This window comes from Homo sapiens, chromosome 5 (genome assembly GCF_000001405.40).
Source record: "Homo sapiens chromosome 5, GRCh38.p14 Primary Assembly".
Taxonomy (NCBI): Eukaryota; Metazoa; Chordata; class Mammalia; order Primates; family Hominidae; genus Homo; species Homo sapiens.
In genome coordinates, this window is record NC_000005.10 from 36,890,373 (window position 1) to 36,908,230 (window position 17,858).

The 17,858-nt window shown below is 36.3% G+C and overlaps 1 protein-coding gene across 7 annotated transcripts in view; it reads left to right on the top strand.

Annotated features, from left to right (window-relative positions):
- The window catches only part of NIPBL (NIPBL cohesin loading factor), a 189,645-nt gene that overhangs the window by 13,604 nt on the left and 158,183 nt on the right, over window positions 1-17,858 (top strand). The gene's annotated exons all lie outside the window — the stretch shown is intronic.

The following is a 17,858-nucleotide window of genomic DNA, read 5'->3' on the forward strand; positions in this document are numbered from 1 at the left end:
CTAATTTTATTCTGCTATAATCTTTATTTTCATTCACATCTTAATTCATTCAGTAGATTCATTGTGTTTTTCATATAGAATACACACTTCCTATGAATATTATTAGGTCATTTAAATGCTCCCGTTTCCCACTATTGTGCCTGTGGTCTCTTTTTACTATATATTTTTAACCTCTTGATGATAAACAGTTGTGGCTTTTCAAACGGTGTATATCATTTCGAGGTATTATATAGTAAAATTAGCATGGGATCTAAACTGCTATTAGCCAAGTGGCATTTAGGCCAATTCTTAACCCAAGCCCATGTCTTCAACTGTAAACTGAAGAGGTTCTCAGCTTTTGAGATTTCATGGACTAGTCAGAACAAAGCAAGAAAGTGCTTTTCTGCAGAAATAAAGTGGTAAGGATATTGTAGATTGGAATGTAAAAAGAAAAGTAATGTCTAGGTAAGACCCATTACTTAGTCTTAATATTTGAAATGTGAAATACCCAGTGTGATGTGAACATGGTCATGATCTCATATTCATTCTCTTGTACATCAAACACTGAGTGATTCCTATGTCTTTTCTCAGGAGCTATTAAGGCATTGCAGATGGTGAAATAAAAGACTTCAGGCCGGGCACGGTGGCTCACGCTTGTAATCCCAGCACTTTGGGAGGCCGAGGCGGGCGGATCACGAAGTCAGGAGATGGAGACCATCCTAGCTAACACAGTGAAACCTCGTCTCTACTAAAAATACAAAAAATTAGCCAGGCACAGTGGCGGGCGCCTGTAGTTCCAGCTGCTTGGGAGGCTGAGGCAGGAGAACGGCATGAACCCGGGAGGCAGAGCTTGCAGTGAGCCAAGATAGCACCACTGCACTCTGGCCTGGGCAAAGAGCGAGACTCCATCTCAAAAAACAAAAAAAGAAAAAGAAATAAAAGACTTCAGCCCACCCATATTATAGTCTAATACAGTTTATAGACAGGTAAACAGAGATTATGTTACAATATCTAAGTGCTATGATCAAGATAAACAAGGTGCAGTTGGAGCACTGGTGGTAGGGGTGGTCACCTAATTTAGACTAGTGTGGTGAGGCGCAGTAAGTCAGGAGCCCTCCTAGGTGTGATGGTTAGTAGATATGCAAACTAAGTTTTGAAGGCTGTTAGTCATACTGTGGAGTCTGGGCCAACAATTTGATTTTTGGAAACTGATGATGGCTTAGATTATTAGAACATAGGCTGGAAAAGGGGCATGCCAAAAAGGTCTGAAGCTACAGAGAGGGGCAGGCTACAGATTATGAAGGAGTGGATATGCCTTACTAAGAATTCTGTGTTTTATTTTAAAGACGAGAAGCCAGGAAGTTATTTAGTAATGGAGTATGTTTTATGCATATGTAAAAAAATTTTTGGATAGTAGGCAGGAAAAGGGAGGCTCAGGAGGCCAGTAGGTGTTGAGGTCCTCAATTAAGATGGGGGATTGTAGCGAAGGAAACCCATAACAAATATTAAAGAGTTAATCTAGTTATAGTTTAGTGATTCTATGTAGGTAGATTGGGTAAGAGAGAATGAAAACAGTCAAGGATATATCCTTGATTCCCAAGTTTCATGTGGGCATATGAGAGTAGAATATAAGTTAAATCAGTTTTGGCTGCCTGTGAGTAAAAATATAGTGTACCAAAACCTGTATCACCTTTCACATTTTAAAAGGAATGGATATTGAAAAATTTAGTGGCTTGGTCAAATTGTACTAATGATTATTTGGAAATGACTTTTACAGCTGACCTAGAAGATCTCTCCAGTGTTAAATCAGGGTTAAAAGTAGTACAGTGGATGAAAAAATGCTCATCACTGGCCATCAGAGAAATGCAAATCAAAACTGCAATAAGATACCATCTCACACCAGTTAGAATGGCGATCATTAAAAAGTCAGGAAACAACAGGTGCTGGAGAGGATGTGGAGAAATAGGAACACTTTTACATTGTTGTTGGGACTGTAAACTAGTTCAACCATTGTGGAAGTCAGTGTGGCGATTCCTCAGGGATCTAGAACTAGAAATACCATTTGACCCAGCCATCCCATTACTGGCTATATACCCAAAGGATTATAAATCATGCTGCTATAAAGACACATGCACACGTATGTTTATTGCGGCACTATTCACAATAGCAAAGACTTGGAACCAACCCAAATATCCAACAACGATAGACTGGATTAAGAAAATGTGGCACATATACACCATGGAATACTATGCAGCCATAAAAAAGGATGAGTTCATGTCCTTTGTAGGGACGTGGATGAAGCTGGAAACCATCATTCTCAGGGAACTATTGCAAGGACAAAAAACCAAACACCACATGTTCTCACTCATAGGTGGGAATTGAACAGTGAGAACCCTTGGACACAGGAGGGGGAACATCACACACCAGGGACTGTTGTGGGGTGGGGGGAGTGGGGAGGGATAGCATTAGGAGATATACCTAATGCTAAATGACAAGTTAATGGGTGCAGCACACCAACATGGCACATGTATACATATGTAACAAACCTGCACGTTGTGCACGTGTACCCTAGAACTTTAAAGTATAATAATAATAAAAAAGTAGCATGGTGGATTATAATCTTACTTGATTAAATTACTAGAAGATAATACTATTTCTTTTTAATGCTTTGTTTTCTAGTATATTGACTATATTCTTGTGAGCTTAGAATAACATAATGAATGTTCTTTAATAACTATTTTCTATTGTGCAAAGTTCTCTTAGGGCCTTTCTGGTGTATTTGTTTATCCAGCCTCATCTGAAGACTGCCTCTTCAGTTAGTTTTATACTAAATCCATACATACACTATAATGAAATCTTGTAGTGAGAACTATGTTACTTTGTTCATGAAGGGATTATCTTTACAAATATAATTAAAGGGATGCTTTTAAAATAAATTTTAAAATGGCAGTAGCTTTTTAGAATTGTTACATGTAGGAACAGTTATAAAGCAGTCAAACTGATGTATCCAAAATAACTGACCAGGTGACATACTGCCAAAATGAAAATTAGTACTTTCCAAGGTTCTAAGTATACTTAAACAAATGTACTTCATTTTGTTTTTTGGCTTGAGAGGTAGCATATCAGAATCACCTAGGGATTTTTTTTTTTCAAACTTTAATCCTTTTTTGGAGATGTAAGTTTTTAAGTTTCTCTTTTAGCTGTGTTCCCTTAGACTTCTCAATCATTCAGTAAGAATTGAATAACTGCAGTGTGTTCAGCAATGAATACTAGATATTTGATATGGACTTTTTTTGAGTCTTCCTCCTGAATTTTACATGGCTACCTAAAAGATCTCTCTCTTTTTTGTATTCTATAAAAACATCATCTGTGAGGCATAAAGGAGCAAGGAATCATGTGAGCAGAGTTAGCGAATTAGATTTTTAAAAAAATGAGAATGGTGAGATGTGTTTAGTTCTGAAGAATGGAGGAGGAGTTGCTGGATACTAGCGAGGACGTAGAATTGAGGAAAGAAGTTAGGGTAGGAGATAGTGTAAATGAATTTGGTAGAAAAAATTCAGTACAGCCTACCAGCAGTACTTCAAGTAAAATTAGAAATTGTGAACTGACCTATCTGTTCCTAAAGGTGTCTTATATTTTAAAAGTTTGCTCAAAAGTCAAATTGAATCTTGTTAGAAACACACTACTTAAAAATATAAACCATGCCTATGTGTTCACACTAAGTCCTCAGCAAATACTTCTTCTTTATTAGTTCATAGTTGCCTTTCTACTGATTTGATGGAAAATATATCCTTCTCAAATATATTTCCAAATGAAAATCTGCTAATTTGTGACATTTCTAATGGATTATTAGGAAGGAAGGTATTTGATAAGAAGCAAAGAAAAAGTAATCAAATTAGCTCAAGTTCATCTGATATTGAAATATGATAAGTACTCCTTAGTAACACAGCTTAGCTAGAAACCGCAGATAAAGTGAAGTATCCAAAAAAAAACTCTATTTATATGAGAAGTTTGATTTAACCTTTGTCTAATATCTAAAGTTAATTATGTGTCCAAAGGTATTGTACTATACTATACTGTCATGTATGTACTTTCAAAAATACATGTATATAAAAATACATATATACATATAATATATTCGTATATACAAATATATCCTATGCACTTTGATAGCTCTATTTTGATAACTTGTTTTGTATTTTCCTACCTCACACCTTTTGATCAAAACATTTACCTCCTTTTTTATCCATCTATCCAAATCATACTTTCTTTCTATCATGATCTTATGTTTTTTTCCCCCCACTGCGGGGAGGTGGCATGTCAGAATCCTCTGTGGATTATTTTCAAGCTTAAAATCCTTTCCACCTTTTCTCCTGCCCCAGTTCACTTGATCTTTTCTAGCAGTACCTATGTGTAGGAGTTATAGAAATTATATGTTAGCTTGTCACATTTTCTTACTGTATATCAAGCTAAAGTTTATTTTGTTTTATTTTTACCTTATTTGTCTTCTCAGTCAGATTATAAACTCTTAGAGGACACAGTCTGCCTGTGGTGCTTGGTGTCTTACCTGCAACAGGCTTGTAGCAAGTGTTTGCTGATAACTGGTGTAGCTCATCTGGACTGGTTTGAAGAGGTTTGGAAAATATCTCACACTCTTATAAACTGTAAAATTCACCCTTTTAAAGTGTAAAACTCAGTGATTTTTAGTATATTCACAAAGTTATGCATTCATCATTACTTTCTAGTTCCAGAGCATTTTCATCACCCCCCAAAAAACCACGTTTCCATTAGTGGTCACACCCTGTTGTCTCCAGTCAGTCCTTGGCAACCATTAATTTACCTTCTGTTGCTGTGGATTTCTGTATTCATATAAGTGGAATCAAATAATGTGCCCTTTTGTGTCTGGCTTCTTTTAATTGCTCATCTATATTGCAGCATGGATCAGTACTTCATTTCTTTTTAGGACTGAATATACTCCATTGTATGGATATACCACATTTTACTTTTGCTTTGTCGCTTGATGGACGCATGGATTGTTTTCAACTTTTGACTATTATGAATAATGCTGTTATAAGCATTCATTTGTAAGTTTCTGTGTGGATATGTTTTTACTTCTCCTGAGTAGGTACAAAGGGGCAAAATTTTTAGGTCATGTGGTAACTATGTTTAACTCTGAGGAACTGTCAGACTGTTTTCCAAAGAGGTGCATGATTTTACATTTGTAGTAGCAATGTATGAAGGTTAGACTGTCTTTACATCCTCACCAACACTTGTTATTGTCTGTCTGATTGTATTGGTCCTAGAGGGTGTGAAGTGGTATCTCTGTGTGGCTTTGATTTGCATTTTCCTAATGACTGATGATATTAAACACCTTTTTATGTGCTTATTGGTCATTTGTGTATCTTCTTTGGAGCAACATTCATCCAAATCTTTTGCCCATTTTTAAATTGGGTTATCTGCCTTTTTATTGTTGAATTATAAGTTGTTAGACATATTCTAGATACAAGTTCCTTATCAGATACGTGATTTGCAATATTTGCTCCCATTCTGTGGATTGTCTTTTCACTTTCTTGATAGTGTCCTTTGAAGCACATACATTTTTAATTTTAAAGATCTCTATTGTTTTCCTTTGGTTGCTTATGCTTTGGGTGTCATAAGAAACTATTGCCTAATCCAAGGACAGGAAAAGTTACACCCGTGTTTAGTTTTAGCACTTACATTTAATACTCTGATCCATTTTGAGTTAATCTTTTTCATAAGGTATGAGGTAGGGATCCAACTTCATTATTATGTACGTGTTTATCCAATTTTCCATTACCATTTGTTGAAAAGACTATTCTTTCCCATTGAATGGTCTTGGCATCCCTGTCAAAAATCAGTTGAATGTAAATTTAAGAGTTTATTTTTGGCTCTCAATTTTATTCCATCAGTCCATATGTCTGTCCTTACGCCAGTACTACACTGTCTTGATTACTGTGGCTTTGTAGTAAGGTTTGAAAGTGAAATGTGTGAGTCCTCCAACTTTGTTCTTTTTCAAGATTGTTTTGACTCTTCTGGATCTCTCATTTTCATATGAAGTTTAGGATGTTTGTCATTTTCTGCAAAATAGGCAGCTGCAATTTTGATAGGGGTCGTATTAAATCTGTAGATGAGTTTGGGGAGTATTGCCTTTACAATAATATTAAATCTTAACAATCCAAGGGCATGGGAAGACGTTCCATTTTTTTAAAGCCCTAATTTCCTTTAGTGTTTTGTTTGTTTGTTTTGAGACAAACTCTCGCTATATGGCCCAGGCTGGAGAGCAGTGGCATGATCTTGGCTCACTGTAAAGTCCGCCTCCCTGGTTCAAGTGATTATTGTTCCTTAGCCTCCGAGTAGCTGGGATTACAGTCCTTTGCCACCATGCCTGGCTAATTTTTGTATTTTTAAGAGAAGGTGCGGTTTCGCCATGTTGGCCAGGCTTGTCTCGAACTCCTGGCCTCAAGTGATCTGCCTGCCTTAGCCTCCCAAAGTGCTGGGATTACAGGCTTGACCCACCACACCTGGCCAGTGTTTTGTAGATTTAAATGTACAAATATTGCATTTCTTTTGTTAAATTTGTTCCTGTGCATTGTGTTCTTTTTAATGCTATTGTAAATGGAATAGACTTTTATATATTTTTTTTTTTTTGAGAAGGAGTCTTGCACTGTCACCCGGGCTGCAGTGCAATGGCACGATCTTGGCTCACTGCAACCTCCACTTCCCAGGTTCAGGCGATTCTCCTGCCTCAGCCTCCCGAGTAGCTGGGATTACAGGTGCACACCAGCACACCTGGCTAATTTTTTGTTTTTTTAGTAGAGATGGGGTTTCACTATGTTGGCCAGACTAGTCTTGAACTCCTGACCTCGTGATCCACCTGCTTTAGCCTCCCAAAGTGCTGGGATTACAAGCATGAGCCACCGCATCCGGCCTGGAATTGCTTTCTTAATTTTACTTCCAGATTGTTCACTGCTAGGGTATGGAAGTGCAGTTGATTTTTATATATTGATCTTGTATCCTGCAACCTTGCTGAACTTGTTTATTAATTGTAACTCATGCTCTTCTTTCTAGGGACAGTTTATGTTCTTTAGTTTGGTTCATTGTGCCCTCCTCCAGTTTTCCAAATAATACATGTCAACAGTGTTATAAGAAAGAAATTTCTTATTTTCTCAATCCTGCTTTGTGACTTAAACAAACTTACGCACATATGAAAAGTAAGATCAGACAACTCAGAAGAAAAACGATATCCACTAAAAACTATGTCAACATTTTCATTTAGTGCTCTGGCTGTAACATAGGATTAAAAATTTGAGGATTGTGGTTCAGTAGTTAAAGCAGTAAGCTTTGCCAATAGTGAGGCATCTTGAGTATTTGTTGCGGAAATAAATAAATGCCTGCTAACAATGTGTATATAGGGATGCAAAATAAATTCTATTGGTCAGTAATTTCTGAAGTCTTTACTCCACTAGTCAGTAAGTGATTTTCAGTAGTGCATCTGGAAAGCTTGAGTCATACAGGGAAAAAAAAAAAAAAAAAGCAAGGAGGGAAGAAACAAAAGGAAGTAAGATTAATAATTTGAATTTTGTTAATACAGATAATATTGTGATTTAAATAAATCTATTGATTAGGAACAAAAGAGGAAAAAATAACAGATTACAGTATTATTCCTCAAGTTCAAACTTCTGTGTTTCTTAATGCCAGAATCAAACCTAAAATGTCAAACACACATATAAAAAGATGCCCAAACTTACTAGCAGTTAGAGAAATAAAGAGTAAAAATCTAGCTAGCTTATTATGTATTTTGTTGATCAGTAAGGATAAAGTGTTGAAAGTATGCTTCATATACTATAAAGTATGCTTGTTTAATAAGTTGTATCCTCTATTATCATTAATATTGTTGTTCTTATCAGTGACCTTTAGGTCTTAAAATAGATGTAGAGAAGGGTAGTGTAATCCTGCCTTTAAAAAAAAATTCATCAAATGCTTTATGTCTTATTCATGGTCATATTTAATACTGTTGAAGAAACCCATGAGATAGATATTTTTGAGACAATTGAGGCGTAGGAAGTTAAATAATTTGCCCAAGCTTACACAGCTTGAAACAAGAGGAAGAAGAAATCAAACCTATGTTTTTCTGATTCCTTTTTTTTTTTTTTTTTGAGACGGAGTTTCGCTGTCATTGCCCAGGCTGGAGTGCAGTGGCACGATCTCAGCTCACCACAACCTCCGCCTCCCAGGTTCAAGTGATTCTCCTGTCTCAGCCTCCCGAATAGCTGGGATTACAGGCATGCGCCATCACGCCCACCCAATTTTGTATTTTTAGCAGAGATGGGGTTTCTCCATGTTGGTCAGGCTGGTCTCGAACTCCCGACCTCAGGCGATCCACCCACCTCACCCTCCCAAAGTGCTGGGTATAGGTGTGAACCACCACACCTGGCATGTTTTTCTGATTCTAAAACTTAGTTTTAAACTTTTTTTAAAATTTAGTCTTTAACTTTTAATTGGCATACTATATTGCTTCTCCACTACCTTTGAACTTATTCCTAGGTGGATTATATAATAAATAATATTCCTTGGAGTTTTAAATTGTATTAAATAAGATTTAAAGTAGAATTTTAAAATTGGATTTTGATTTTACTTCAGAAAACTCTCAAGTGTTTGCTTTGGGAAATCGAAGAAAACATTTGCCCATTGTTGTAATGCTGCTGTATTTCCCAATTGTGATTTCCAAAATTTCTTTGATTCTCACTTTGGGAAATGGGGTCTTGAAATTCATGAAATCCAGTTTTGGGTCCAGAAGCAAATAGACTCAGTGAAAGAGACAGTCATGGGAGAACCCCTTAAATAGTTTTAGGACAAAAAGTTACAGTTTAAAGAGAAGGATGGGTAAATGTTGAAGAAAACTTAATACCTCTTGTTTTCTCTATGTTGAAGACTTTTGGTTTTGCATTAAGTCTTGCCTGCATTAAAAAAAAAGTGTAATGTGATTGTCTTATGTACTTACAAATTAATATGTATTGTATCTTTAATTGCATCTCTGTGGAATTTTTATATCATTTGCTTTCTTTGTTTTATACCTTTCTTTGGGAATCTCATATTCAGTGCAGACTGTTGTAATGAGTTTGGTTTGTTGACCTGGTGAGCAGTAGGATTTTGTAAAAGGAAATTCAGCTTAAAGCATTCAGAACTTTGGCTGTTGTGCCCTTTCAAAAGTGAATTTTTAAATAGGTTTAAAATAAATGACTGCCTCCAAAGGATTGCTTTCTAAATTTTGTGTTAGAGACATGCTTGCCTCCTGATTTTGTATTTTAGCCCCAAAGTGAATTAAGCTTTCCTGCTTGAGTTGGTGAATATTACTTAAGTACATGTATATACACAGAGTTAAAAACCTGCTAGTACTCAAAAATCAGTCCTGTATTGTATAGAGATTTGCCTGCTGATGGATCAGGTGTTGTTTTCAGTATACTGTTCTTGGACTTTATGACAGACTAGGGGTACTTAATGCCTGAGTTGATAATCACATTATTACTTCTTACACTTTGTTTATAGAATCTAGAAGGAGTTAAACAGAAAAGTATTTTTCTGTTCCTTCCTTATGATTTAGAAAATAGAAAAAGTCTTCGCTAAAGCCTTTAATAGCCTTATTCTTAGTGATGATGATGATTATATTAATAGCAATGATGGCCAGTATTTGTCATGAGCTCACTGTTTTGAATATTTGACTGGCATTATTTAATCTTCACTACAGTTCTTGAGGTATAATCAGCCCTTCATATTTGAGAGTCACACATTTGCAGATTCAGCCAAGCACAGATTGGAAATATTCAGGAAAAGAAACCAATAAAAAAAATACAAAAACATTTAAAGTGCAGTATAAAAACTATGTAGCATTTACATTGTATTTGGTATTATAAGTATTCTATTAATGATGTAAAGTATACAGGAAGGTGTGCATTTTATATGCAAATACTACACCATTTTAAATTAGAGACTTTAGCGTCCATGAATTTCATATCTACAGGGATCCTGGAACCAGTCCCCTCAGGGCCAAAGGGGACTGTCTAGCTATAATATCTCCACTTTCCAAATTAGGAAACTGATGCTTACAAAGAATGTGACTTGCTCAAGAGATGAGAGAAGGAAGTCCCATGAGCAATTCAGTCAACATAATTACAATGAATGTATGCTCTCCTTAAGTTTAGTTAGACTCCTGACCTCCTTGAGGTCAGGGACTTAATATGTTTATTTCTTTAATTCTAGTACCAAGCACAGCACCCAGCATATGGCATATGCTCGGGTTTTTTTTGTTTTGTTTTGTTTTGTTTTTTTAATAAAGAAATGAAGTTGCGAGAGGCTGATTCATTAGCTTTAGCTGTAAGTCTTCTGGAGGGAATCCATACCAATTTCATTTACATTGCATGATTTTTTTTCCTTTGCCTTGGAATACCGCTTGGCAGGGGACCTAGTAAGTTCCTGTTCATTCTTCAAGTTCCAGCGTAATTCCATCTTTTCTTTGATGCCTTCCTTGTCTCTTTTAGGCAGAATTAATTGTTCCCTTTTCTATCCACTCCCTTTTTTTCCCCAGCCTTTATTTTAGATTCCAGGGGGTACATGTGCAGGTTTGTTACATGGGTAAATTGCGAGTCGCAGGGGGTTTGTTGTATAGATTATTTTGTGACCCAGGTAATGAGCATAGTACCTGACAGGTAGTTTTTGATCTCCACCCTTCTCCCACCCTCAAGTAGGCTTTGGTGTCTCTTGTTTCCTTCTTTGTGTCCATCTGTGGTCTATGTTTAGCTCCCACTTACAAGAGATAACATGCAGTATTTGATTTTTTTGTTTCTGTATTAATTTGCTTAAGATAATGGCCTCCAGCTGCCTCCATGTTGCTGCAAAGGACATGATTTCATCCTTTTTTATGGCTACATAGTATTCCATGGTGTATATGTACCATATTTTCTTTATCCAGTCCACTGTTGGTGGGCATCTAGGTTGATTCCATGTCTTTGCTATTGTGAATAGTGCTGTAGTGAACATACACATCCATGTGTCTTTATGGTAGAATGATGTATATTGCTTTGAGTATATACTCAGCAGTAGGATTGCTGGGTTGCATGGTCCTTCTAAGTCCTTTTTTTTTTTTTTTTTTTTTTTTTTGAGTCGGAGATTTGCTCTTGTTGCCCAAGCTGGAGTGCAATGGCACGATCTTGGCTCACTGCAACCTCTACCTCCCAGGTTCAAGTGATTGTCCTGCCTCAATCTCCCAAGTAGCGGGGATTACAGGCGTGCACCACCACACCCAACTAATTTTGTATTTTTAGTAGAGAGGGGGTTTCCCCATGTTGGTCAGGCTGGTCTCGAACTCCTGACCTCAAGTGATCCACCCCCCTCTGCCTCCCAAAGTGCTAGGATTACAGGGGTGAGCCACTGCACCCAGCCCTAAGTTCTTTGAGAAATTGCTGAACTGTTTTCCACAGTGGCTGAACTAGTTTACATTCCCACCAGCAGTGTATAAGCATTCCCTTTTCTCCATTGCCTCACTAGCATCTGTTATTTTTTGACTTTTTAGAATAGCCATTCTGACTGGTGTGCAATGGTGTCTCATTGTGGTTTTGATTTGCATTTCTCTAATGATTAGTGATGTTGAACATTTTTTTGATATGCTTATTGGCGGTATGTATGTTTTCTTTTGAGAAGTGTCTGTTCATGTCCTTTGCCCGTTTTTTTTTTAATAGAGTTGTTTTCTGCTTGTTACTTTGTTTAGATTCCTTACAGATTCTGGATACTAGACCTTTGTTGGATGTATCGTTTGCAAACATGTTCTTCCATTCTGTAGGTTGTCTGTTCACTCTGTTGATAGTTTCTTTGGCTGTACAGAACCTCTTTAGTTTAATTAGATCCAGCTTGCCAATTTTTGTTTTTGTTGCAGTTGCTTTTGAAGTCTTCATCATGAAATCTTTGCCAGGGCTGATGTCCAGAAGAGTTTTTCCTAGGTTTTCTTCTAGGGTTTTTATAGTTTAAATTTTACATTTCAGTCTTTAATCCATCTTGGGTTGATTTTTGCATGTGGTGAAAGGAAGAGGTCCAGTTTCAGTCTTGTGCATATGGTTAGCCAGTTATTATTGAATAGAGAGTCCTTTCCCCATTGCTTGTTATTTTCAGCTTTGTCAGAGATTAGATGTTTTAGGTGTGTGGCTTTATTTCTGGGCTCTCACCTGTTCCATTTGTCTGTGTATCTGTTTTTGTACCAGTACTGTGCTGTTTTGGTTACTGTAGCCTTTTAGTATAGTTTGAAGTTGGATGGTGTGATGCCTCTGGCTTTGTTCTTTTTGCTTAGGATTTCTTTGGCTATTCGGGCTCTTTTTTGGTTCCATGTGAATTTTAGAAGTTTTTTGTTTGTTTGTTTTTTGGTTTTTTTTCCTAATTCTGTGAAAACTGTCACTGGTAGTTTGATAGGAACAGCAATGAATCTGTAAATTACTTTGGGCAGTATGACCATTTTAACAATATTGATTCTTTCTATCCATGATCATGGAATGTTTTTCCACCTGTTTTTGTAAACTCTGATTTTTTTTTAGCAGTGTTTTCTAATTCTCATTGTAGAGATCTTTCACATCCCTGGTTAGCTGTATTCCTAGGTATCTTATTCCTTTGTGGCTATTGTAAATGGGATTACATTCTTGATTTGACTCTCAGCTTGGACGTCATTGGTTTATAGAAATGCTACTGATTTTTGCACTTCGTTTTGTATCCTGAAACTGTGCTGACGTGGTTTATCAGATCTAGGAGTTCTTGAATAGAGACTGTGGGGTTTTCTAGGAATAGGATCATTATCATCTATGAGGAAAGATAGTTTGACTTTCTCTCTTCCTATTCAGATGCCTTTTATTTCTTTCTCTTGCCTGATTGCTCTGGCTAGGGCTTCTAGTACTATGTTGAGTAGGAATAGTGAGAGAGGGCATCCTTGTCTTGTTCCAGTTCTTAAGGGGAATGCTCCCAGCTTTTGCTCATTCAATATGATGTTGGCTGTGGGTTTGCTATAGATGGCTCTTACTATTTTGCCCCTCTTTTTAAACTTTAATATATTAGTAATACCTATTATTTTCATATTGTAATTATCTACTTCCTCTAGCCTGGGAATTCTTTATAGGTCGGGGAGGGGACAGTGGTAGGCTTTATCTAACTCATCTTAGTTATTGTCAGTCTCAAGTATGATTTCTGGCACTTGGTGGGTGCTCACTAAATGTTTGGGCTGAATGAATTCATATAAACAAGCTAAAAATAGACTTGTAGATAAATGATGGAGAACTTTATTTAAACTTTGTCTTCTCTGAATTACTGTCATTTGCTTTGTGATTTTAGGCTACTTCTTAGTTTATGAGCACCATTTCTCAAGGCTGCATTCTTTAAGAAATATTAATATTTGAGGAGATACTACACCATCCAAAGATTGCCGCTAGTATTTTCTAAGATGTTTTTTAGGGAAAAAATTTAAGAATGGAGGGAAGAACCTAATCAGTGAAAGATGTGATCATAAATAAGCAGACAGATTTATAGGAATAAACAGGTTAAGAATTTGAATATAGAAATATAGAAAGGAATATATTAGATTAAATTATAGAGTCCTAAAGTAGAGTGTAAGCCAGAATTATATGTGCTCTTACACATACCACATACTGTATAGGATTGTTTATGAGGTTCAGTTGAGATAATATAAATAGAAGTGCTCGTAAGTAGGATGTTTGTTTCTGCAAAATGAATTTTATTAAATATTTAGTGTACTGTAGATAAAGTGATTCTTAAGAATTTTTAAAAACTGGGCCGGGTGCGGTGGCTCGCGCCTCTAATCCCAGCACTTTGGGAGGCCGAGTTGGGCTGATCACAAGGTCAGGAGTTTGAGCCCAGCCTGGCCAACGTGGTGAAACCCTATCTCTGCTAAAAATTCAAAAAATTAGCCGGGCATGGTGGCGTGTGCCTGTAATCCCACTACTTGGGAGGCTGAGGCAGGAGAATCACTTGAACCCGGGAGGCGGAGGTTGCAGTGAGTCAAGATTGTGCCATTGCACTCCAGCCTGTGTGACAAGAGCAAGATTTCCTCTCAAAAACAAACAAGCAGTTATGTATTGCCATGTAACAAATTACACCAAAATTTAGCAGTTTAGAGCAATAAATATTTATTATCTTAGTATTCCTATGGGCCAGGAATATGGCTACAGCTTAGTTGAATGCCCTTTTACTCATGGTATCTCAGGAGGCTATAGTCTTCCTATAGTTAGGGTCAGTTGAAGCTGCAGTCATCACAAGGTTTGACTGGCAGAGAATCTGTTCCAAGCTTAATCACTTGGCTCTTGGTGAGCCATAGGTTGCCTATAGCTGTTGGCTGGATACCTCAGTTTCTTGCCACCTGTGTCTCACCTTAAAGCAGCTCACAACATGGCAGCTGACTTCCCTTAAAGTGACTAAGAGAGGGTACCACAACAGAAGCCAGTCTTTTTGTAACCTAATCTCAGAAGTGACATGCCATCCCTTTTGCCATATTCTATATTTGTTAGAAGTAAACACACAATAGGAGGGAATTACACAAGGTGGATGGCGTAATTGAAGGCTGTCTTAAAGGCTGCCTATCACAGTGCAATTAGTATGGCATTAGTATGAGAATTCCAGTGATGCAAAAGTGAAAAATTCGACAAAAACAAGTACAGGAAGCAAGTTGAGGTTGGTTGGTTGGTTGGTTGGTTGGTTTTACAACTTTTAATGCATAGAGGGTAAATTGGCCAAAAAAAATTAGTCAAGAACAGAAATATGTAGCTTGTCAGCAGTTAGTTGGAAAGGGGTAATAAGCAATGAATTTGAATAATTTACTAAGAGATAATATTACTGTAATGTGTGTGTTCATGGGATCAGTTCATCTCTTCCTATGTATTTCTCATTTCTGTGTTGGTTCTGACGCAGGAGTTTTTTCCTGTTTGAGTGAGATCCACTAATGGAGGATTGTTATTTGATGCTTAGGACTTGGGATTGAGCAGAAAACACTACTGTTGGCTTGTAAGATCATAATCGGTGTTTTGAATATGGAATATACTACCTTCTTAAATTTAGTTTTACATGTGTGAGTGAGGCGGTTTCCCCTGTGCAGTTTTTCCTTGCACTTCTCCTTCCTGAACCAATCTTAATGAGGAATGTGTGTGACATGTACCAAAAACTTCAAAACTTTAAGATAGAGAAAATATTTTGAAGATGCCTATTCATAAATTATTTATTGGTTTAATTTATTTTCAATAAAAATTTCAGTGAGATGTTAGGTAGGCGCAATATTTCTGAAATTTATCTAAAAAATAAGAAAGTCAAAGAAAATTCTGAAAACTATGTTTTTGTTTTTGTGTTTTTTTTTTGAGATGAAGTCTCACTCTGTCACCCAGGCTGGAGTGCAGTGGTGCGATCTTGGCTCACTGCAAGCTCCGCCTCCCGGGTTCACGCCATTCTCCTGCCTCAGCCTCCCAAGTAGCTGGACTACAGGCACCCGCCACCACACCCAGCTAATTTTTTTTGTATTTTTAGTAGAGATGGGGTTTCACCGTGTTAGCCAGGATGGTCTCGATCTCCTGACCTCGTGATCCGCCCACCTTGGCCTCCCAAAGTGCTGGGATTACAGGCGTGAGCCACTGCACCTGACCCTGAAAAGTATATTAATGGGGAAGGAAAAACAGACATGCCTTACTACATATTAAAATGTCATTTCAAGCAGTAGTAGCTAAAACATCAATACATCATGATAAATCAGTGGATGAGAACAACCCGAAAATAAAACCCTACCATTTCTGCGAATGAAGTATATAATCATTATCTAATATAGCTAATATGTAATATGTAGTATATAACATGTAATGAATATACATAAGATGTGTAAAGGAATTCTGCATTTTTAGACCTCCCACAACAATTTTAAATAGTGACAGTGATACGAATAATATTATGATTATTTTGGGACTCTTTTAACATTAATTTTAACAAGAATGTATTTTGTGTTAAGTATAATCTTGGTTGCTGGGGTTACATAATTTATCATCCTGTTAAAATCATTTTGTTGTCTCTATTAGTCTTTTCATTAAGAGTGATATGTCCTTTTTTCTATCAAACTACTAATGTCTTTTAGAAATTATTTCTGCTACCAGGACAGATTTTGTTTTACTTATTGCTTAAGATTGTTAACTTGCAAAACGAAGTGAAGTGAAAATTTAATCAACTGTGTAGACTGTCCTAACTACCTTAATCAAGTAAAAGAATTTACTTGACTTTGTTGCAATCTGAGCTTTTATTTTGTCAAAGTCTAGTTATCTTATTAAGTCTTCAGTAGAAGATATAATTAATACTTGGTGATTTCTAAATCTGAATATTGGAGAAAAGGGCACCAAATTGAAGAATGCTAGATTTTAAATATTTTCTAGAACTTTAATCTATATGTTCCTCAAGGGGAATTATTGTTAAGCACTGTCTTGATGTGGGAAAATAGATCCACAAGAAACAGGAGTTTCTTCTTCCCAGCCCCTAAAGATACACTACATTGTAACTTTAGACTTGACTGAATTTTTCAATGTAGTGCTGTCTTTGCATAGGTGTATGTCTTTGCACAGATGGTGACTAGTAGAATGTGGATTCCGCTTCTCATCCCATCATACTTGTTTAGTTTTTCCGGGTGAATATATAGCCAAGTTTTAAAAGCAATGCTCTGAGATTCTTACTCCACATCTTGTTAAATGGCGATTGTGAACCAGTAGATCTGGAGTAGGGTTTGAGAGTCTGCATTTCTAACAAACCCAAAGGTGATGTTATGCTCTCAGCAAGGTTCTAGACTGCTAAATTTCCTATATAGACTTAGTTGTTGCGATGTCTTTATTCAAAAAGAACTGCTTTGTTCTTGGTCTTATAATTGTAAGATATTTTGTTAGGTGAGTCCCATATATTTTTTCTCACTTAATCTTCACAACACCCCTGCAAGACTGTAATACATGTTCATTATGGAAAATTCAGATAAGCAAAAAGAAGAAAAATAAAAGTTACGTAGATACCAGAAATTAAAATAATATTTATTTATAAGTTTAAGACTCCAAGTGAAGATTAAAGTTCTAAAAGGAACTAAAGTTATAGCTTCGGGAGTATTATATGCATTTTCCCACCTTAAGTAAAGAAAACAAAACATTGTGGGAGTAATATGACTGAAACTAAAATGTATTTACTTAGAAAAGACCAGAAGAAAATGTCAGAGCATACAGTAGTTGCATTAGGGTGACAGGATTATAACAGGCACTTTTTCCTTTTATCTGCAGTCCACAATATTTATAATGTGCATATGTTACCTTTACAATAAAAATTTAAAAACCTTAGTCTTCTCAGAAATGCCACTGAGGAAAAGGTCTGAAAGTTAATAATAACTAAACTAAATAAATACTTTACAATTTAAATGAAAATCATCAAGATGGACAAAGAATAATTCACACAAGTGAAAAATGGTAAATGAACAACTGAAAAGAATAAATCAAATACAGCTTTGGTAAAATAGTAAACAGCTTTACACAATAGTAAAAAAACATGCAGCTAAGCAGGTATCTATCTTTTCCAAAAGGAAGTATTTTAGAGCTAACAACCAATGCTGACAAGGCACAGCAAAACCAATATATTTGTTCATTTCTGGTAGTAGTATGCATCCTTTTGAAAGGTAATGTGATTAACACAAAGATTCATAAATATTTAATGGCAATAGAATACAAAAATACTATACACACTCCATCTGTCACTATGTAACATGTTTACATGCTGAAAGACAATCTTTTGGGGAAAAAACTCTTTTTTGAGGATAAAGAGAT